The following is a 22,710-nucleotide window of genomic DNA, read 5'->3' as shown; positions in this document are numbered from 1 at the left end:
GATTATATAGTTGGTGAATTTATATATAATCTGGAGTATGAAATATATGTTAATCTAGGAGTTGTATATAATCTAGGAGTTTTTAAAAAACTGGTGAATTTATATATAATTAGGAGTTTTGAGTGAATTTATTTATATATAATAAATATATAAATAAATAAATTTATTCATTTATTGGTGAGTTTATTTATATATAATCCAGGAGTTTAAAAATAATTTCTAGGCTGGGTGCTGTGGCCCACACCTGTAATCCCAGCACTTTGGGAGGTCAAGGTGGGAGGACTGCTAGAGCTCAGGAGTTGCAGACCAGCCAGGCATGGTGGTGCACACCTATAGTCCAAGCTACTTGGGAGGCTGAGGTGGGAGGATGGCTTAAACACAGGAAGTTGAGGCTGTAATGAGCTATAATTGTGCCACTGCACTCCAGCCTGGGCAACAGAGTGAGACCCTGTCTCAAAAAAGAAAAAAAGAAAAGAAAACGTAAAATAAAATAATAAGATTTTTTCTTCATTTTTTTTGTTTTATTTTTTATACCCACACTACACAGATGTAATATAAAAAGACTTTCTAGGCAAGACACACAATTCTAAAGTCTTAAAGGAAGAGAAAAATGTGAATATATACAAAGTGGAAAAAATATTGCAACATTTGGCAAGCAAAGAAAATCATTAATATACAACTTCTTGTACAACTCAGTAAGTAAAAACAAATCAAAAAGAAAATGGTCAAATCTATTAAAATCTTTGTCTCATTCACAATTAAATAACTGCATATAAAAATAATGAGTATATCCATATAATGAAATATTATCTGGCAATAAAAAGCAGAATTATTAAATAACTGCCAAAAAGTATAAATAACCCAAATTCTCATCAACTGATGAATGGATAAACAAAATGTGCTGTATCTATACAAAAGACTGTTATTCAGCCATAAAAAGGAATGAAAAACTGACACGTGCTACAACATGGATGAGCCTTGAAGACGTTATGCTAAGTGAAAAATGCCACACACGAGAGCATATGTTTTATGATTCCAATGACATAAAATGCTCAGAATACGTAAATCCAGAGAGACAGAAAGTGGGTTCATGGTCGCCTAAGGCGTGAGGGGGTGGGACTAGAGGGAAAATGGTGAGTGACTGCTAATAGATACAGTTTTGGGGGGAGGTCATGAAAATTGATTGTGGTGATGCTTGCACAACTCTGTGAAATACTAAAACCATTGAATTGTGCACTTCAAATGGGTAAACTGCCTGGCATATGAATTATATCTTAATAAAGCTGTTATTTTTTAAAAGCTTATGTAAAAAAAAAACCAATGAGCGATTTGAATTTGTTTATCATATTACAAAGCTAGATAATAATAAATGTTGTTAAGAATACAGACACAGTCATTCTCATGCTGTATTGGTAGGAGTGCAAATTGGTACACTTTTTTGAGGACAATTTAGCAATATCCTTCAAAATTTAAATACACCACATCCTTTAATTCTGCAATTCAAAAAATTACCATATGGATATACTTGCAAAAACTTGCCAATATAGATGTACAAGTATATCGTTTATAATAGAAAAATCTGAAAATCTGGAGCTAGCCATTCTGGGGACTATTATGCAGCCTTTTATTTTTTATTTTATTTCTTTTCTCTTTTTTTTTTTTTTGAGACAGAGTCTCACTCTGTCACCCAGGCTGGAGTGCAATGGCGCAATCCTGGCTCACTGCAAACTTCGCCTCCTGAGTTCAAGCGATTCTCCTCTCTCAGCCTCCTGAGTAGCTGGGATTATAGGCACATGCCACCACACCCAGCTAATTTTTATATTTTTAGTAGAGACGAGGTTTCACCACGTTGGCTAGACTGGTCTCAAACTCCTGACCTCAAATGATACACCCGCCTCAGCCTGCCAGAGTGCTGGGATTACAGGCATGAGCCACATGCCCGGCTTTATACAGCCTTTTAAAAATATTATAGTTATATGGGCTGATATGAAAGGATCTCCAAGAAAACAATAAAAATAACAAATATTTACTGAGCTTTTGCTATGTGACAGGCACTCTTCTAAGTCCTTTACATTCAATAACTCACTTAATCTTCTTTGGAACCCTATATTTTTATATCATCACCCTCATTTTCTAGATGGTGACACTGAGAGGCACAAATAGGTTTAAGCGACCTGCCAGAGATTGCATGGTAACTTAGTGGTAGACACAGAATTCAAAACCACTTGAATAAATTTAAAAAGTATACATCTATATAAATATGGCTTCATAGTTATTTTTTTCTTTCTAGGAGCATACGTAAGTAACTGTTTGAAGAGAGAGGTACTGAACTGCCTCCTGATTGGTTACTAGGAGGCAAATCAACAAAAGCTACAAAATGAGGTGGGTTTTTTTGTTTGTTTGTTTGTTTTTTAATGGAGGGATGGGAGTGGAGGGAGTTGTTAGTGTTTACTTTGTATGTTTCATGGTCTAATGTCTCTGTTACTGACTGGAAGCAGATTGCTGAACCCATAATTTGATTTGCCTGACATTTTTAGATATGAAAATCAAAGGTCAACCTAACATATCTAAAACTGAATGACTAATTGTCCTTCTGATCTTTTACTTAAATGAAACAACCAGTTTACAGACCTAATTTTCCCTTCTTAAGATGTTAATTCTCCCTTCTTAGGGTGTCTAAGACCTGACCCTTCTTTTTCAGTATAACTACATTATGTCTAGACTACTCCAATCTAGCATTCAACATTGGTTTTATCCCATTACTTTCTTGCACAAAAGCCTTCAAACTCCCAGTATTAGTCTGTTCTCACTCTGCTATAAAGAAATACCCGAGACTGGGTAATTTATAAAGGAAAGAGGTTTAATTGACTCACAGTTCCACATTGCTAGGGAGGCCTCAGGAAACTTATAATCATGGCAGAAGGCAAAGGATGAGCAGGCACCTTCTTTACAGCGTGGTAGAATGGAGCAAGTGCAAGCAGAGGAAATGCCAGATGCTTATAAAACCATCAGATCTCCTGAGACTTACTCATTATTACGAGAACAGCATGGGGGAACCAATCCCATGATCCAGTTACCTCCACCTGGTCCCACCCTTGACACATGGAGATTATTACAACTCAAGGTAGATTTGGGTGGGGACACAGAGCCAAACCATATCATTCCCCTCAGGTAATGGTTTCATCCTCAGCCCAGGTTTCACACCTTCCTTGGTCTGTTCAAATCTTTCTTTCCAGGCAGGGCATGGTTGGTCACACCTGTAATCTCAGCACTTTGGGAGGCCAAGGTGGGAAGATCGCTCAAGTCCAGGAGTTCAAGATCAGCCTGGGCAAGATGGCAAGACTCCATCTCTATTTAAAAAAAAAAAAAAAAAAAAAAAAAAGTATCTTTCCAGTATTATTTCCCACAACTTTACCCTCCACACCAGCATTTGCTTTATGAGATTTTTGCTTTATCCCTAAATCAGCCCGTCCCTTTCTTTCTGCCCATATCCATTATAGCCTGACTTCGAAGTCCAACTTCAATACAACATTTTATCTAGAGCCTTCCCTGACCATCCCAAGTCTAGTAAGAGTAATCACAGTTATGGCGACTTCCTTGTAAGCTCATCCAGGCATTATTTATGGTTTACTTTGCAATGGAAGAAATGCCAGTGCCTCCATTTTGTCCTCTCTCACCTGACCAAGATCCTCTCTCTGCAGATTACTGTCTCTCTCCCCTGTATCCTCAATCTCTCTTTCTTTACTGGCTCCTTCCCATCTCCATTTAAAACTTTTCAAGAGTCTCCAATTTTAAATGAAGCAGAAAGTATGTGGCAGGGAAAGTTCTGGTCCCCCTAAGTAAAGCGCTGAGAATACTGAATTGCAAGCCCCAGAATACTGCAGCAGTGAATTCCGGGGCTCGCAATTTTCCGTGCACTGCGTTAAGCTCCAAGTATCAGACAATTAAGCAGTGGGCAGATGGGGAGAGGGAGGTAAACTGTAACAAGTATTTTGGAAAAACAGTTTGACAGTAAAGAGTTGAAGATTAAAGTGTTCCCTGGGGCCTTACCTGCAGGCGATATGTTCCAAGATCCCCAGTGGATGCTTGAAACTGCGGATAGTACTGAACCCTATGTATACTATGTTTTTCCTTATACATACATACCTATGAATAATAAATTAGCCACAGTAAGAGATTAACAACAATTAACAAAATAGAACAATAATACCAATATACTGTAATAAAAGTTATATGAATTTGGTCTCTTTCAAAATATCTGATTGTACTGTACTCACCTATTTTCAGACGTTGACTATGGGTAACTGAAACCACAGAAAGCAAAACCACATGTTGGGGGGACTGTTGTAACATCCTTATGACCAAGCAATTCCATTCCTAAATATATACTCTATAGAATTCCTTGAGCATGTGCACCACGAGACATGTACAAGAATATTCATAGCAGCATACTTGTCATAGTCCAAAACTGCAAACAATTCAAATGTCCATCAAGAGTAGAGCAAATAAATAAAAATGGTTGTATTGTAATACACACAAATGTATTATACTGTATATGGAATGCTTAATAGTATTCTATACAAGAGAATACTACTGAGTGGTGAAAATGAATAAACCATAGCTACATGTAACGACATGGATGAATCCCATCAACATTTGAGAAAAAAAAAGGAAAAGCAACCCCTAATATCCAGCAGCTGTGCTCGTGCTATCAGATGGCCGCTCACAACTAAACATTGGTGTTCACCTGTTGAAAGTAAGTAATTTCATGTAACATAACACCAGATAAGGCCACACTGTGACCATGATAAAGACAAAAACAAGATTACTCTGTAATCACATCTGACCACAGACAAAACATGGATATTGCCCAGACCACAAAAATGACTAAGTACCCTCTTATTCTAGCTAATATGAGGGACTGCTGCTTTTTTCCCAATTACAGCATTAGCCTTGGTCTAGCCTTCCCTCCTTCTAGATAAGATTTAGTGCGATACTCAGTGCTCCTGACAGTATCTAATCCAGAGCAAAGTCCTTGTTCCTTAAACTCTCCCCAAAATTACCTAACAGAAGCCCAAATCCTACAATGAGTCCTGACACCCTCTTACTAGGATGTCCTGACACCCTCTTACTGAGATATCCTGACACTCTCTTACTGAGATGCCCCCTCCTTCCCCATGCTGTGCTTCCCCCTCACTATAATGAGTAACGAACTCAATTTCTTCAACTGCAGGAGTTTTCCTGTTGGACTGCAGGGCATTGGCACATTAAATTGAAAGAAGCAAGTCCTCCCAAGATAAAAACTTCCTTGAATAGGAATGATGAGAAAAATAACAATAATAATAAGAAGAAAAAAAGCAAAATATAAACTTGCATTCAAATTTCTTGAAATACTAATTACATTATTTAGGGATGCTTATCACATCCTAAGTGATGTGATACAACTATACAACTATAGCTGTATAAATGATACAACTATAGAAATAAAAGCAAAGAGGCCAGGCGCCGTGGCTCAAGCCTGTATTCCCAGCACTTTGGGAGGCCGAGGCAGGCGGATCACCTGAGGTCAGGAGACCAGCCTGGCCAACATGGTAAAACCCTGTCTCTACTAAAAATACAAAATTAGCCGGGCGTGGTGGTGCACACGTGTAGTTCCAGCTACTCGGGAGGCTGAGGCAAGAGAATCGCTTGAACCGGGGAGGCGGAGGTTGCAGTGAGCCAAGATGTACCACTGCACTCCAGCCTGGGCAACAAGAATGAAACTCTGTTTCAAAAAGAAAAAAAAAGAAGAAAGAAGGGCAGGGCAGGGCAGGGCAGGGCAGGGCAGGGCAGGGAAGGGAACGGGATGGGAGGGGAGGGGAGGGGAGGGAAGGGAGAAAGAAAGGAAATAAAAGCAAAGAGAGGATTATGACAAACACTGGCATAGTGTTAGCTCTGAGGGGAAGAAAGGGAGGGGCTAGGTCAAGGCATAATCGAGGAGTGAGCACCAGTGAAATCTGCTGCCAGAGAGCAGGTAGGGGAAAGCTGACTGAAACCTGGAAACTGACCTGACAGCTACAGAGGTGACCTCTTCTCCGGATGTGTCTGAGAAGAGGGCTCCAGCATTATTCCACTTGACAGAGAATGGATTCAAGAGCTTGTTTGATAATAAACCTTCAGTCTAGACGTAGCTTACCTTATTCAAGGATGAGTAAAGAGGGCAAAACACTGCAGCCTTGGAGACACTTGCAGAATAGGAAAAAGGAAACAACTTCCAGAAGGTTCCAGGGTAGAGCTTGCCCCAGGAATTGATCTACTGTAGAATACAGAAGGAAACTTCAGGGAACTGGAAGTCTCCAAAGGTATAAGAAGGATTATTTTTTTTTTAAGGGAAGGGCCAGGAGTTATTAAAAGAAAGGAATAAAATCAAGACATAAGGATGAAATGAAAAATGCAATGTATTCATCTGTTGAGGCTACTCTAACAAAGCACCATGGACTGGGTGGCTTTTAAAGAACAGAAATTTATTTCTGATTGTTCTCTAGGCTTGGAAGTCCAAGATCAAGGCACTGGCAGATTCGGTGTCTGGTGAAGGCCTGCTTGCTTCCCTTTAGACAGCCGTCTTCTCACTGTAATCTCACGTGGCTGAAGAAGCCAGAGGGAAGGGCCTCTCTCAGGCCTCTTTTATTAAGACACTAATCCAATGCATGAAGACTCCATCCCATGACCTAATCACCTCCCAAAGGCCTTTTACCTCCTAATACCTTCACCTTGAGGGTTAGGATTTCAACATATAAATTTTTGGGGAATGCAAGCATTCAGACCATACCATAGACAATCTTTTTTTTTTTTTTTTTTTTTTTTGAGACAGAGTGCAGCGTCACGATCATGGCTCACTGCAGCCTCAAACTCCTGGGCTCAAGCGTTACTCCCTTCTCAGCCTCTCAAGTAGCTGGGACTATAGGCATGAGCCACCACACCCAGCTAATATTTTATCTTATTTTATTTTATTTTATTTAGAAATAGGGTCTCACTCTGTTGCTCAGGCTGGTCTGGAACTCCTGAGCTCAAACGATCTTCCCACTTCGGCCTTCCAAAATGCTGGGTACAGGCATGAGCCATCATGCCTGGCCACAACAAGATTTTTATTAAAGGAAGAATGATGTAATGAAGAAAGATTGCAAGGAAATTCTTGTGTGCTGGAATTAAAAAAAAAAAAAAAAACAGGCCAGGCACAGTGGCTCACTCCTATAATCCTAGTACTTTGGGAGGCTGAGGCTGGCGGATCATGAGGTCAGGAGTTCGAGACCAGCCTGGCCAAGAGACCAGCCTGGCCAATATGGTGAAACCCCGTCTCTACTAAAAATACAAAAATTAGCCGGACATAGTGGTGGACACCTGTAATCCCAGCTATTCAGGAGGCTGAGGCAGGAGAATTGCTTGAACCCGGGAGGTGGAGGTTGCAGTGAGCCGAAGATCATGCCATTGCACTCCAGCCTGGGCAACACAGTGGGACTCCGACTCAAAAACAAAACAAAACACCACAATGTTGGAAGCGTAGCAAAACTGATGCTGTAGTGACAAGGACAAGTTAAATAACTTTCCCAAAATACAGGGAAAAAAAGGACAATGAATGATAAAGATAAGATGGTAGAAATGAAGGCTAAAGAGCGAAAAACAGAGTCAACTGACATTTCTTAAGAACTCAGAATCAGTGGAAAGACACACTCACCAGGGATATGAGAGGAGAGTGATTCTCCACTGGAGGGTGGAGATGAGAGAGTGTGATAACAGCCTGGGTGGGCACATGATGAGAATGGCCCCAATGGGCTGGCGTACTTTTAAATTGCAGTAATTAGTGTCTGCTAATTGGGCTGTATTGTGTGCTTCAGTTGAGTTAGGAAAAAAATAAGTCAGAACCACTGTAAAATAGAAGTCTGATATAAGAAAATGAATGCGTATGAATGAATGAGTGAAGTTGTTTAACTAGATCAAAAGTGCTAATACATGTTCCAGATGAAATAAATCTCAGGACTTCAAAACCAGACTGGGCAACACAGTGAGACCTCATCTCTACAAAAAAATAAAGGAAATGGCCGGGCGCGGTGGCTCACGCCTGTAATCCCAGCACTTTGGGAGGCCGAGGCGGGCGGATCACGAGGTCAGGAGATCGAGACCATCCCGGCTAAAACGGTGAAACCCCGTCTCTACTAAAAATACAAAAAATTAGCCGGGCGTAGTGGCGGGCGCCTGTAGTCCCAGCTACTTGGGAGGCTGAGGCAGGAGAATGGCGTGAACCCGGGAGGCGGAGCTTGCAGTGAGCCGAGATCCTGCCACTGCACTCCAGCCTGGGCGACAGAGCGAGACTCCGTCTCAAAAAAAAAAAATAAAAATAAAAATAAAGGAAATTAGCCAGGTGTGGTGGCATATGCTTATAGATCCTACTCCAGAGGCTGAGGTGGGAGGATTGCTTAAGCCCTGGAATTCGAGGCTGCAGTGAGCTACGAACATGCCATTGCACTCCACCCTAGGTGATAGAGTGAGACCCTGTCTCAAAAAAAAAAAAAAAAATCAAGAAAAACGTACACCTAGACATATTTGAACAAAATTTTTGAACCACAGAATTAAGAAAAAAAAAGCTACCATATTTTCTCATTATAAAAATTAAATCCCAAAACAAAGAAAAAAATTAATATTGTCACAAGTTTCTCTTTTTGTGTCACATGAAATACCTGAACGCAATGAAACAATGTTTACAGAGTGCTGAGAAATGAGGTTGAAATAATACTCAGCCACATTTTTATTCAGGAAAAGGCAATATAAAGACTCCTCCAATTCAAAAGCACTTGGAAAGAAGCCACCTCTGTACTCTTCATTAAAAATTACATGAGATGGACTCTAACAAACTAATAAACTGGTAAGTCATGGTGATCAGTACTTATCAACTAAAATTGAGATAGTTTTAATACAAAAATTAACTAAGCATGGTGACGTGCATCTGTAGCTCCAGCTACTCGGGAGGCTGAGGTGGGAGGATCACTTGAGCTGGGGAGGTGAGCCAAGAACATGCCACTGCACTCCAGCTCAGATGACAGAGCTAGACTCTGTCTCAAAAAAAAGGGAAAAAAAAAAGGAGATAGTTTTAACCAGTGGCACAGCAGATTCCTATTCTCTATACAACAAACTCAATTTCAGAAACAAAATCATTAAGTAAAACAACAATAATAATAGTTTATCTTTCAGAAAAGAAAAGCAGAAAGTGAAAATATTTTATTAAACTTTGTTCTAGTAAAAATTATTACATTACAAAAAAGGAAAATATGGATTAATGCTTTTTAATAACAATGACGTATTTTGTTTTTGTTTCTCATAAAAGGAAAATCTTGTAACTTTGTGCCTACATACTGGTTGGTTGCAGCAATGAATAATAGCATTACAGTTTGATAATAATTATGAAAGACCAACATGTTAAAAACAAGAATAAATTCCAATTGTAAAGATTTTATTCAAATTCAGTACAATATTTCACGTAAAAATGAAAATTTGTAATCAAATTTTTGCCAATCAAATACATTCACTTTGTAGTCTGCATTGTTTCACTGTTTCATATTACAAATATCAATAGCCCAAAAGGTCACAAAGGACAGAACTAAAGTTAACTCATATTCTTATTTTTTCTCTTTGTAATCACTATTATTTCAAATCTACTGTTTAAACACAGGCATTTCACTAGGATTGAAATCACAACTAGGCCCCCAAAGTGAGCTGGAACCATCTGGTCCATTATAAAGGTACTTTTAAAGGAGCCTGCAGGCCGGGCGCAGTGGCTCACGCCTGTAATCCCTGCACTTTGAGAGGCCAAGGCGGGCGGATCACGAGGTCAGGAGACCATCCTGGCTAACACCGTGAAACCCCGTCTCTACTAAAAATACAAAAAATTAGCCGGGCGTAGTGGCGGGCGCCTGTAGTCCCAGCAACTCGGAAGGCTGAGGCAGGAGAATGGCGTGAACCTGGGAGGCGGAGCTTGCAGTGAGCGGAGATTGTACCACTGCACTCCAGCCTGGGCGACAGCAAGACTCTGTCTCAAAATAAATAAATAAATAAATAAATAAATAAATAAATAAATAAATAAATAAATAAATAAGGAGCCAGCATCGCTGAGTCCCGTGTGTTGGAAACTGAATGTATAACTGGAAATTCTTGTAATTTACTTCCATGTAGAACACTGGGTTTGCTGAAGGATGAGTAATAAAATGTGCTAAGTTGAAGTTTACATGCACATTATTAAAACTCAGTAACCTCAGCAATTGTTCAGATTTACGCCAAATATTTTTTTCAGGGAGGAATATTTTGTCATTGACCTTGTTTACGTTTGCTGGCACATGGTGATCAGCACGGCCCAACTTTCAGTTGATTTTATTATTGTTCCCACTGCCCTACCCTTGGTCTACCACTGGCTTTAATAATTCTGGGAGGCCAGACACGGTGGCTCACATCTGTAATCTCAGCACTTTGGGAGGCTGAGGTGGGACGACTGCTTGAGACCAGGAGTTCAAGGCCAGCCTGGACAACATAGCGAGACCTTATCTCTATTTTTTAAAATGGAAAATATGTATAAAAACTTTTCCTTCAGCTCTCATTCCACTCCGACCACTTCTTTTCTCAATTTTTATAATGCCTTTCAAACTTTAGTGTGTATAGGAATCCCCTGGAGAGATTGTTAATGCTCCTGTTTCCCCACCCCCAGAACTTCTGATTCAATAGGGTGACCCAACATTTGCATTTCAAACAATCATTTGCATTTCAAACAATATTCCCAAATGATGTTGATGCCGCATGCAGGTTGTGGATCACACTTCTAGAGACACTGGTCCAGAACTCAATAATTTAGAACGTATATTCTGTTGCTTTGTTCATTCTATGAAACACATATCTCTTTCATTAGACTGTGTTAGAACACATTAGACTGTGTTCATTAGATATGTGTTTCTATGAAACACATATCTCTTTCATTAGGGCAGGAATCTTGTTTCACACTCCTCTATCCTGTGCAGTACAAGAGTGCCAAGAGATGCCCATAGGATACGTGTTAATTGAGGCTTGGAGGTTTGCACATTTTCTCCATAATTTAGATGCAGTAAAGATTATGTGTTTGCAGCAGTCTCTTCCAGTAGTACCAGCTCTAGAAAATTTCCTGGCACTGGCTCTGAACTTGAATGCATCTGGAACCCATGAGGTGTGACCATGTGGCTTTATGTTCACCTGTCTTGGGAGGACAATTCTCTATGGGCCTCAGATTTTCTGAAAACACAATTTTATAATAAGACTTTTTCTTTGGTCTCCAGACTGTCCCTAAATTGGTGCAATCCTGAGGCTGAGTGATGCAACTTGATTATAAGACAGCAGTCTGGGTCTAGGTGGCCATACTAAGTATAAAATACACGTATGCAATCAATTTCTAGCTTTTTTTTTTTTTTTTTGACAGGGTCTCACCCTGTTGCCCAGGCTGGAGTGCAGTGGTGCAATCACAGTTCTTTGCAGCCTCGACCTTCTGGGCTCAAACAATCCTCCCACCTCAGCCTCCCAAGTAGCTGAGAATACAGGTGTGCACTACCACGTCTCGCTAATTTTTAAGTTTTTGGTAGAGATGAGGTCTCACTATGTTGCCCAGGCTGGTCTCAAACTTGTGGGCTTATAGCTTTATATTTTTAAAAGGAGTGATAGGATACACGGCTTCAGTCAGCCCACTGAATGCCTGATCCCATTCAGTATGAGTCATGGTACATTCAGCTGGCTGTATATGGCCTGATGGCCTTCTCTCCAGGGCAGCTAAAGGCAACAGAATACACACCCAATCCATGCTGTTACTCTGCATCTACTGAAGCCCATGCTTCCTTCTCTAAACAGTAGAGAAAGTCCCCAGTTTTCTTGGGGATCATAAATAATTGGAACAATTCCACCCACCTATTTCTGTGCTGGCATATCTGGAGTGCTGAGACACTCTAATTCTTCAACTTCTTCTTTGGATAGACCCTCTGTTCTCTTTCCCACAGGGTCTTGAGAAGACAGGAGGCATCGCTAAAGCTTGTGTATGTCTACTTGTGCCTTGTGAGTCTGTTATTGTGTAAAGATGCTCTCAGAGGGGGAATGAGAATGTGCTTCTAGTTCTGCCCCTAAAACTAGAAAATTAGTCTTTAATCCCATAGGAAAAGAGACCTGGCCCCTTACGCTGATCTGAGAAAATATGGAATATAGGTAGTTCCCAAATATACCGGACATAGGAACCTCTCAGGGAATAAACTTTGGTTGATAAATTGCAAACAGGCGGCCAGGCGCAGTGGCTCACGCCTGTAATCCCAACACTTTGGGAGACTGAGGCGGGCAGATCATGAGGTCAGGAGATTGAGGCCATCCTGGCTAACACGGTGAAACCCCATTTCTACTAAAAAAAAAAAAAATGAAAAAAAAATAGCCAGGCGTGGTGGCACGTGCCTGTAGTCCCAGCTACCCAGGAGGCTGAGGCAGGAGAATCACTTGAGCGACAGAGCAAGACTCCATCTAAAAAAAAAAAAAAATTGCGAACAGGCATGGAGGAGCCGGGGTACAGTATTTTGAATCACTATACACAATGCAACAAAGATTTATTAAGCACTCAGGTCACAAACATTGTACTGGGCACTGAGGACAGGATGGTACAACAAAAATAGGCAGAATTATTGCTTATGGAACATGTGGTTATTCTCATGAAGCTTACAGTTTCACAGCAAGGTAATTATTAACATAAAAGCATTCTGATAAGTATAAACGTTTACTGTAAATGCTGTGAAGAGGAGCATATGGTGCTATAATTGCATGATATAGACGTCGTCAACCTAGAAGGGGCACTAAGGGACAACTTTCCTGAAGGGCTGACTACTGAGCTGAGAGCTGAAGGATGAGTGGAAACTACTCGGGTAAAGAGTGTTCTAGACAGAATGATATGCAAAGGCCCTGTGGCAGGAATGAGCATGAATTGCTCATGGCATTGAAGAAGGCTGCAGTGGCTGAAGCAGACGCTAGGGGGAGCATGGTACAAGATGTTGCTAGGGAGGAAAAAAGGACCAGACCATGTCTGGGTCTCTTAAATCACAGTAAGAATTCTTATGAGCAATAGGAAGCTACTGAAATGCTTAAGCAGGTTTCTGTTTTGAAAGAGCTACTCTGGCTGTTGGCTGTTGCAGAGTTAATGGATTGAAAGGGCCAATAGTGCTGCTAGGAGGTGATTGCAGGACAATTGCAGTCACCCAGAGGAGAGAAGATGGAAGCTTGGTCTAGGGTTGGGAGAGGGGAAATGAAGAGAGGTAGACAGCTCTGCACAGAAGAGTTCCCTGTATGTGATGCAAGCTTCTAGGAGAGCTAAGCATTTGAAGCCTTTGTTATAAAGCTAACTGATTATGGAACAGTAGTTTTAATTTAGGTGGCCGTATTAGGTTTGTAAGCATGTGATTGACTTCTAGCTTCATATTTTAAAAGTGATAATGGGACAGGCAGTTTTTCTAGAGAAGTGGAGTCCTGGAGAGTGAGTAGAGAAGCCAGCTCAAGGAGAAATTCCTCAGGAGTGCCATTCTGCTTTATCACCACTGAGTGCTGCTGTTTCCAATGACAAGTTCCCAAGAAACCAAAGGGCCAAGTAAGGTAAGAGGAACAGTGGCGGGGGAGCGGGGGGTTGGCAGGGGGCAGCGGGGAACCAACTTAGAGTTTTAAAAAGTGGAGAAGACAAAGATGTTTTCTAATTTTGGAAACCTGAGTCCTAAGCTGCAAGGGTCCAAATCAAATTTTTGGGAAGGTCATTTTGTAATATGGTAACTTCTTGCTTTACTGTCAGCATCTCTAAAGACAGTCCCCAGTAATAAAGGGGCCAAAAGAGGCTTTTTTAGAACCATTAGTGTACCCCTCCTGTACAGTCCCATTAGCGGGCCTTGTTAAACCAACCCAGACAAAGAGCAAAGATGCCCTAGTTAATGGAGAGTCTCCGATAATTACTCTGCTCAGCCGCTTCTTTTAGGGTCTGAATGGTCTTTAAATAATGTTTCTCTTGCTGTGGTCACAGACAATGACCTAGCAGTCTGCTTTAAGCGGTGCCAATCCCATTAGCCGAAGAATAGCAAAGCTCTGTGTGTGTCTGCGTGCCAAGGAGCGAGTGTGTGTGTGTGTATGTGTCTGTGCGTGCATGTGCGTGTGGTGAGGAGCTCAGCTTATGGCAGGGATCAGGCTTAATGTTGCTTTCTTCCTCTTTTCCTCCCTTTCTCTACACATCCATCCCTCCCAGGAACCAAACATACCACTGTGTCTATTGGGTCATCTGCCTGTTGAGTGACAACCTGCCCTTACTGAAAATGGAAACAGACTCCCTTAAATGCTTGCGGACGATGTTTCTCATTCCTACTTACTAAACACTTCTCTGTAGGATGTGATTCTAAACATGCCCCTGTCCTCTAAGAACTTCACGTCCCAGAACCACAATAATGCAAACAATGTAAAGTCACCCCAGTAAATGTGTGCCATTCAGGGTGGAAAATGTTTTAAAAGCTTCATAAATGTGGAAGAAAAAGATTGAGGGTACAAAAGTTATAGGAAGAATGCCAAGATCTTTGGAATATTTTCCTCTGTGGCTCTCTCTCCTGATGCCTTGCAACTCTTTTTTCTGATAATGAGAATGCTTACTTATATTTGAAGACAAGTTATATCCCAGACACAGAATGTGGAAACGGGGCAACATTAATTTATTTAGGAAGGATCGAGTGCTCCAACATGAAAGTGTGAATAAGTTCGATCGTGAACTGTTTTGTAATAAAAATGTACAAAACAACATTCAGAAACACTGCCGTAAATGGAACCTGGTTGCAACCTGCTCTTGCCCACCGTTGTCTGGAGGACTTTTTCAGAAGCTCCAGAGTGGTCTGATTCAACAGTTTTTGAATCAACTGAGTGTGAAAACAGGCTAGCATAAGTAGGTAGGGTGACTCCACTCACACAAATACATGGGAGTGAGTTATTTGCAGCTCATTAAGTATCACAGGGCCTCTCCCCACCACATACCCACCCATCACCCACATCATATGCCTCCTAGGAAGAATGATTATATTGAAGCCAACAGGATAAAAGAGCCATTTTCTGTTTCTGGGTTCTAGAAAGACATCCTAGACAAAGAAATAGTCTACTTGGTAAAACTAAAAAGATGCTCCATTTAGTTCTTACTTTCTTTAACTTTGATCTGCAGTTGTTGTTGTTGTTGTTGAGACAGGGTCTCACTCTGTCACCCAGGCTGGAGTGCAGTGGCATGATCTTGGCCTGAGCAACAAGAGTGAAACTCCATCTCAAAAAAAAAAAAAAAGCTCATTTGGGTCTCAGTGTAGTGTTGGGGGAAGATTTTTAGATCACATAAGAAAAGAAAAGAGATGGGGCTGTTAGAGATAGGAGTGGACCTTAGGTAAGATATAAAAAAAAAACAAAAAACAAAAAAACAGGCCAGGTGCAGTGTCTCGTGCCTATAGTACCAACATTTTGGGAGGCTAACGCAAGAGGGTCACTTAAGGCCAGGAGTTTTAGACTAGCCTGGGCAACGTCCTATCTTTGTAAAAAAAGAGAAAGACAAATTTAAATTAGCCAGGTGTAGTGGCCTGATCCTGTAGTCCCAGCTATTCAGGAGGCTGAGGTGGGAGTTCAAGGCTGCAGTGAGCTATGATTGCGCCACTGCACTCAAGTCTGGGCAACAGAGCAAGACCTGGTATCTTAAAAATAAAAAAACAAAAGACATGATGTGTGCTTCATGAAAGGGCCATATACGCAAACCAACCCCCAAATGCAGAAGGAACCAAGAAACCAAAGAACAAGGCAGACAAATCCAGTTTGTCAGTAGAGGGTTATTTACTGGGGAACTTATGGACAAAAGGATGGTCTTGGGCAGCTGCCAGACAGGTAGATTTCCACAGTTTTCTCCCAGATATATACCACAGAGAAAGGGTATATGTGCTTTAGAAGGAATGTATAAGGACAATTGAAGTCCACCTCTCAGGAAAAGGGAAGAATGCTATGTGTGTCATAGCCTAAGGGCAGGATTTGATAACATCAAGGGTGTCTTGGCCTAAGAACAGGATTTACAGACAGTATACATAGATAAAAATAGAAATCTTAGAGGCATTCCCCAGACTGGGGTTAATCAGAAGTCAACATGGCAGATTAGCATCCAAGATGGAGTCACTTTTGTCTCCACAACCAGTTCACCAAAATTTGAACAAGGGAGTGTTCTTTCCAAAATGCTCTTTGCTTGTAGACAAATGAGTATGTTTGCCTTAATTGTCATAGACATTTATTTGATTTCTGTTTGAGTATTGCTCTTAGATCTTAAACTGGAAGGATGACTATATGTCCATCACCTAATAAACATTTTGATGTCTAGTATTCCTTTATCTGAAAAACAAAAAAACAAAATAACAACAAATCCTTAAAAATCACTGTTGAAACCCAAGTATAATTCTGAATCCTGATTGTCTTCAACATTACAAATATAAATTGCTCATTAGATCTTCCTATAGACCATCATTGTGCTTGGTATTGTGAAGAGTAGTAAATATAATTCCTAATCCTACACTTTGTGGCTAGGATTCTAATTCAGATGTCCTGATTCTTTTATTTATTTATGTTTTATTTAGAGATGGGGGTCTTGCTGGGCCAGGCGGGGTGGTTCATGCCTGTAATCCCAGCACTTTGGGAGGCCGAGGCAGGTGGATCACTTGAGGTCAGGAGCTCGAGACCAACCTGGCCAACATGGTGAAACCCTGTCTCTCCTAAAAATACAAAAAATTAGTTGGGCTTGGTGGCATATGCCTGTAATCCCATCTACTCCAGAGGCTGAGGCAGGAGAATCACTTGAATTCGGGAGGCGGAAGTTGCAATGAGCAGAGATCACACCACTGCACTCCAGCCTGGACAACAGAGTGAGACTTGGTCTCAAAAAAAAAAAAAAAAAAAAAAAAGAGATGGGGTCTTGCTATATTGCCTAGGCCAGTCTTGAACTCCTGGCCTCAGCAATCCTCCTAGCTTGGCCTCCCAAAGTGTTGAGATTATAGGCATGAGCCACCGTACCCAGTCACAAATGTCCTGATTCTCAATCCAGTGCTTTTTCTAGTATAACAAAGCCTCTCTTATGACATAAGTACCTTATCAAAATCCCACATATATAAAAGATAAAATATTGCATTAAAAGGGTTGATCCCCAGTAGACCCTCCATGCACTGCCATCAGTCCTGGGCAATCAGCTGTTCTCTGGCTCCCCTCTGGCCTCTTTGGCCTAGAAGGTAGCAACCTGGAGGCCCCTCCTTCTAGATCAGGTACATGGGGCTTCAGAATTCCCTGCCCTGAAAGTTGAGAGCCTGCCTCCGGGCTGCATGGGCCTTTTTCCCAGGGTTTGTCATCCTGGGAGCTGACCCAGCTGTCAGTATGTCGTCATAGGCCTGAGGAGTGACTTCATCTGGGGAAGCAGTCGGTGAAGTTAGGACATGGCCGCTGAGGTGTATGCATACACATGTGGGTCCTTGTGGTGCAGGACAGGGCCTAGGCTGGGAATCTGAGGGCACCCATTTGTTTTCTTCCCCCAATCCTTGTAACTATCAGGGGTGTGCCTGCCATTAAGGACCTGTTCTGGCAAGGTGAAACTTCGCTCTTTGAATTTTTCCTGGCAGTTTAGTTTTGAGCACACGTCAAAGTTTTGTTATACTCTGGCTGCCAGGGCAGTTCAACTTGGTTTTTTTGTTTGTTTTGTTTTTCCTTTTTTATTTTTTTGTGGAGAATGGGGTCTCACTATGTTTCCCAGGTAGATCTCAAACTCTGAGACTCAAGCTATCCTCCTGCCTCTGCCATCCTAAGTGCTGGGATTACAGGTGTGAGCCACCATGCCCTGCTACCAGGGAAGTTCAACCCAAAGATTCACTCTTGGTAGGACATTTTGTAAGAAGGGAAAATAGGTCATCATTTCTGATTAAAGTTCAGTATATTCTTTTTTGTTATTTTTATTTTTTGCACTACTCTGCAATATGATATCTCCATTTTGCTGCATGAAATAACAGATTGTTTGTCAGAGGCCAAATATTACTAAGCACTGTTATTAACTCTCAATATGGGCTGGTTGCGGTGGCTCTCACCTGTAGTCCCAACACTTTGGGAGGCTGAGGTGGGCGGATCACTTGAGGTCACAAATTCGAGACCAGCCTGGCCAACATGGTGAAACTCCATCTCTACTAAAAATACAAAAAATTAGCCGGGCATGGTGGTGGGTGCCTGTAATCCCAGCTACTCAGGAGGCTGAGGCAGGAGAATCACTTAAACCTGGGAGGCGGAGGTTGCAGTAAGCCGAGATCACGCCACTGCACTCCAACCTGGGTTACAGAACGAGACCCGGTCTCAAAAAAAAAAAAAAAAAAAAAAAATCTCAATGTGAATTAACTCATTTCAACAACACTTTGAGGTAGATAATATTATTACTATTATTATGTCATCATCATCCCCATTTTACCTATGGATAAACTGAGGCACAGAGAAGTAAAGTAGTTTGTGCAATCCCTGAAAATTAAAAAGCGGTAGAGACAAGATTCTAACCACAGTGCAATGCTGCTTCTATTCAATCTCCTCTGCTTTTCTACCTCTACTTATCCTTTAGGTCAAGCTCAAACCCTCCCTCTTTATAGAAGCCTATCTGAGCAGCTCCATCTGATTTTCTGGACTTCTGGACGTTCCTTTGCCTTCATCCCTCCCTGGATGTTTACTGTTTGGGACTGCTGGAAATCTTTCCAAATTTGTATCTATTAGCTCTACCATCTAAAAGTGAAAGGTCTCAGAGTATATGTTCCAGGTTGAAAAACATTTTTAGGTGAAAAGTGACTAGATTGACAGTTGAGTAGGCAGATGACTGGTTTCCCATAACAAGTACGGTGGACTCTGTGATGTACTGCCCAGATCCCCCATCAAAAAAGGACTTGTTGCTCCAGCTTCCGGGAGTGCTGTCAGCAGATTACCATCAGTGGCCATTCTTCTTAGGGACTGTCTCAAGTTCATAGAGCCACCTTGCCCTAGAGTGGCCCATATCCAATGACTAAGGGATGTGGGAATATAAAATCCTGGCCATCTGGGTCAGTGGTGTGCTGGAGCCAGCTTCTACTGATTCTTAAGGCTTTAATATGTGCATTTCCAATTCTGTGTTCTGTGATGATACATCCAGAGCTTGAAATTAGGCATGGTAGGGATTTTTATATTGTGAAAATCGGCAAACTCTAACAAATCAGAACTTTTACTTTTTCAGAGTCAGTTTACCAGCACACCACTGTTCTTGGTTCTACATAAAAACTATGCTGAAGCCACATCAAGACTGAGACAGTTTTTCTTTTATAATATTTTAACTTTCTGGACGATTCTCTTGTAATCACCCAATGGCTTCTTCCTGCCCACTGCACAGATAAAATCAATATACTAAGACTGTGGCATTGCAGTAGGGAAAGAGTTTAATTGACATGAGGCTGACTCATGCAGAGGAACTGGAGTTATCACTCCAATCAATCTCCCCAAAGGCTGGAAGACTAAGGTTTTTATGGACAATTTAGTGGACAGGAGGCTAGGGAATGGATGCTGCTGATTGGTTGGGGATGAAATCATCAACGTGTGGAAAAAGCTCCTGGTGCACTCAGTGCGCCTCTAGGTGGGGCCATATGACCAGTTGAGTTATGAGTCACAAATCCAGGTGAGGTCAGTCTGAAACAACTACAAACCCAGTATTCGTTTCTACAACAGTGGTGTTATCTATAGGAGCAAGTGGGGAAGTCACAGATCTTGTGGCCTCCTGGCCACATTACTCCTGGCAGTAAAGGATTATAGAAACTACATCTACATTTTACCAGAGTTCAAGCCCCTTCCATAATCCTATTCTGTGGTCTTTCATTAGTCTTACAAAGGCGGGTTTCTGTCCCTGAGCAAGGAGGGGGCTAGTTTTAGGGAGGGACTATTATCATGCTTGCTTTCAAGTTAAACTATAAACAAAATCCCTCCCAAGGTTATCTTGGCCTATGGCCAGAAATGACCAAAGATAGTTTGAAGGTCAGAAGCAGGATGGAGTCAACTATGTCAGATTTCTTTTACTGTCATAATTGAAACCACAAAGGCAGTTTCACTCATCTTTAAGCTGTTAATGGAGGCCTCTGGATAGTACTGACCATTATACAAGCCACCAAGAGTCAATGAACCTCATACCTAGAGGACAGTGAATTCCTTAGTAAATGCTTGTTTTTTCTGTTTTGTTTTGTTTTGTTTTCCAGATGGAGTCTCACTCTGTTGCCAGGCTGGAGTGCAGTGGCATGATCTCAGCTCACTGCAACCCCTGCCTCCCAGGTTTAAGTGATTCTTCTGCCTCAGCCTCCTGAGCAGCTGGGACTACAGGTGCGCGCCACCACGCCCAGCTAATTTTTGTATTTTTAGTAGAGATGGGGTTCCACTATGTTGGCCAGGATGATCTCGATCTCTTGACCTCGTGATCTGCCCACCTCAGTCTCCCAAAGTGCTGGGATTACAGGCATGAGCCACTGCACCCAGCCAGTAAATGCTTGTTGAATGACCACATTCAAATTGCTCTATTAACGTCTTCTGTAAATTCTATCACTTATTCTTGATCTTTCTAGTTTAAAAAGCCTTGGTAGTTGGTGGTGGGGTGGGAAATCATTGAATAGTTAGCTTTGCTAATGGCTTTTCGCTTTTTTTCTGTTAACTTATTTGTAGAAGTGATAGTCAAAAGAGTTAAAGACATATATGGCCTGGCCATCAACTAATCAAAAAGAATCCTAGGCCACGCACAGTGGTTCACGCCTGTAATCCCAGCACTTTGGGAGGCTGAGGCAGGTGGATCCCCTGAGGTCAGGAGTTCAAGACCAGCCTGGCCAACACAGTGAAACCCCGTCTCTACTAAAAATACAAAAATGAGCTGGGTGTGGTGGTATGCACCTTTAATCCCAGCTATTTGGGAGGCTGAGGCAGGAGAATCGCTTGAACCCAGGAGGTGGAGGTTGCAGTGAGCCGAGATTGCGCCACTGCATCCAGCCTGGGCAACGGAGTGAGACTCCGTTCCCCCCCACCCAAAAAAAAGAATCTTGGCCCTAATGTAAGAGCAGGGCCATTTTGCTCTTACATTAATGAAAGATGGGCTGAAATACCCACCATTTCAGCAAAATAGGGTCAGATATTAATCTTTTGTGTGCTGGATCTTAGGATGTGGGAGGTTTCTTGTAAAGAGACCTTAAGATACTTAGAGTGCTTAGAGACTGAAGCTAGTTACCAACCCATATGGAACTGTTTCAATATTTTAACAGCAGGTATGTCCTTGTGGGTGCCTTCCAGCTGAACAGCAGGTTCATTTATACTTTCAAGGAATAACTCTATTTGTGACTTCAATATTTGACATCCCCTATGCTTTTAATTTACCTAAAGAGACAAAGAACAGTAATTACACTATGTTGGTCTTAATAAATATCCTAATCATTTTTACTTGGGCTTATTTTGGGAGATGGGTGAGGTATACTTGGCTTGCAAATTTTAAGCTATAAATAGCACTAAAAATGTTCTGATTAAGTTTAAAACACTTTTGATGAGGTTTTTGTTTTGTTTCTTGGAAGACAGCATTGTTTTTTTGAATCCTGGTTTGAGCATTACTTTAGTAAATGAAGGCTAAAAGGAAAATACTTAATGAAAGTATATAGTAATGGCACTTCCTCATATGATGTTTAACATTTTTTGAGATCATTTTCTAAGTACCATAATACTTGTGGAGGAAAATGCAAAGATGAACAAGATAGGGTGCCTGCCCTGCCAGGGATGCTGAAGGGGATATGATGGGGGAAATTTTGTATTTGTCAATTAACCTCAATAAAGCTGGGAAAAAAATCAATTAATTAATTAAAAATGGGGAACCTAAAGTTGGAAAAGAAGAGTTTCCAGGAGTGGGTTAAAAAAAAAAAAACAGGCTTTCTTGTTGTTGTTGCCACATCTACTGCAAGAATGAAGACCATTCTCAGCAACCAGACTGTTGACATTCCAGAAAATGTCGACATCACTCTGAAGGGACGCACAGTTATCGTGAAGGGCCCCAGAGGAGGCCTGTGGAGGGACTTCAGTCACATCAATGTAGAACTCAGCCTTCTTAGGAAGAAAGAGGCTCCGGGTTGACAAATAGTGAGGTAACAAAAAGGAACTGGCTACCGTTCAGACTATTTATAGTCACACACAGAACATGATCAAGGATGTTACACTGGGCTTCTGTTACAAGATGAGGTCTGTGTCTGCTCACTTCCCCGTCAACGTTGTTATCCAGGAGAATGGGTCTCTTATTGAAATCTGAAATTTCTTCGGTGAAAAATACATCCCCAGGGTTTGGAGGAGGTCAGGTGTTGCTTGTTTGGTATCTCAAGCCCAGAAAGATGAATTAATCCTTGAAGGAAACAACATTCAGCTTGTTTCAAATTCAGCTGCTTCGATTCAGCAAGCCACAACAGTTAAAAACAAGGATATCAGAAAAATTTTGGATGGTACCTATGTCTCTGAAAAAGGAACAGTTCAGCAGGCTGAAGATCTAAGAGTTGTCCAGCTACAGAAACAAGATGCTGGAAGACTCCTAAGACCTATTTGTGATATTTAAATGATGCAATAAAAGACCTTTGATTT

General features: G+C 41.4%; 1 pseudogene, besides 1 other annotated feature; it reads left to right on the top strand.

Annotated features, from left to right (window-relative positions):
• Positions 19,751-19,810: an enhancer, noted in NCBI's record as "active region_17049". NCBI's record gives its function as "activates an Ori minimal core promoter by ATAC-STARR-seq in GM12878 lymphoblastoid cells {active_cell/tissue: GM12878}" and the evidence as "EXISTENCE:reporter gene assay evidence [ECO:0000049][PMID:35858748]".
• RPL9P14 (ribosomal protein L9 pseudogene 14) lies at positions 22,028-22,710 on the top strand (annotated as a pseudogene).

This window comes from Homo sapiens, chromosome 2 (genome assembly GCF_000001405.40).
Source record: "Homo sapiens chromosome 2, GRCh38.p14 Primary Assembly".
NCBI classification, from domain to species: Eukaryota; Metazoa; Chordata; class Mammalia; order Primates; family Hominidae; genus Homo; species Homo sapiens.
This window is presented reverse-complemented; position numbering and strand designations above follow the sequence as displayed.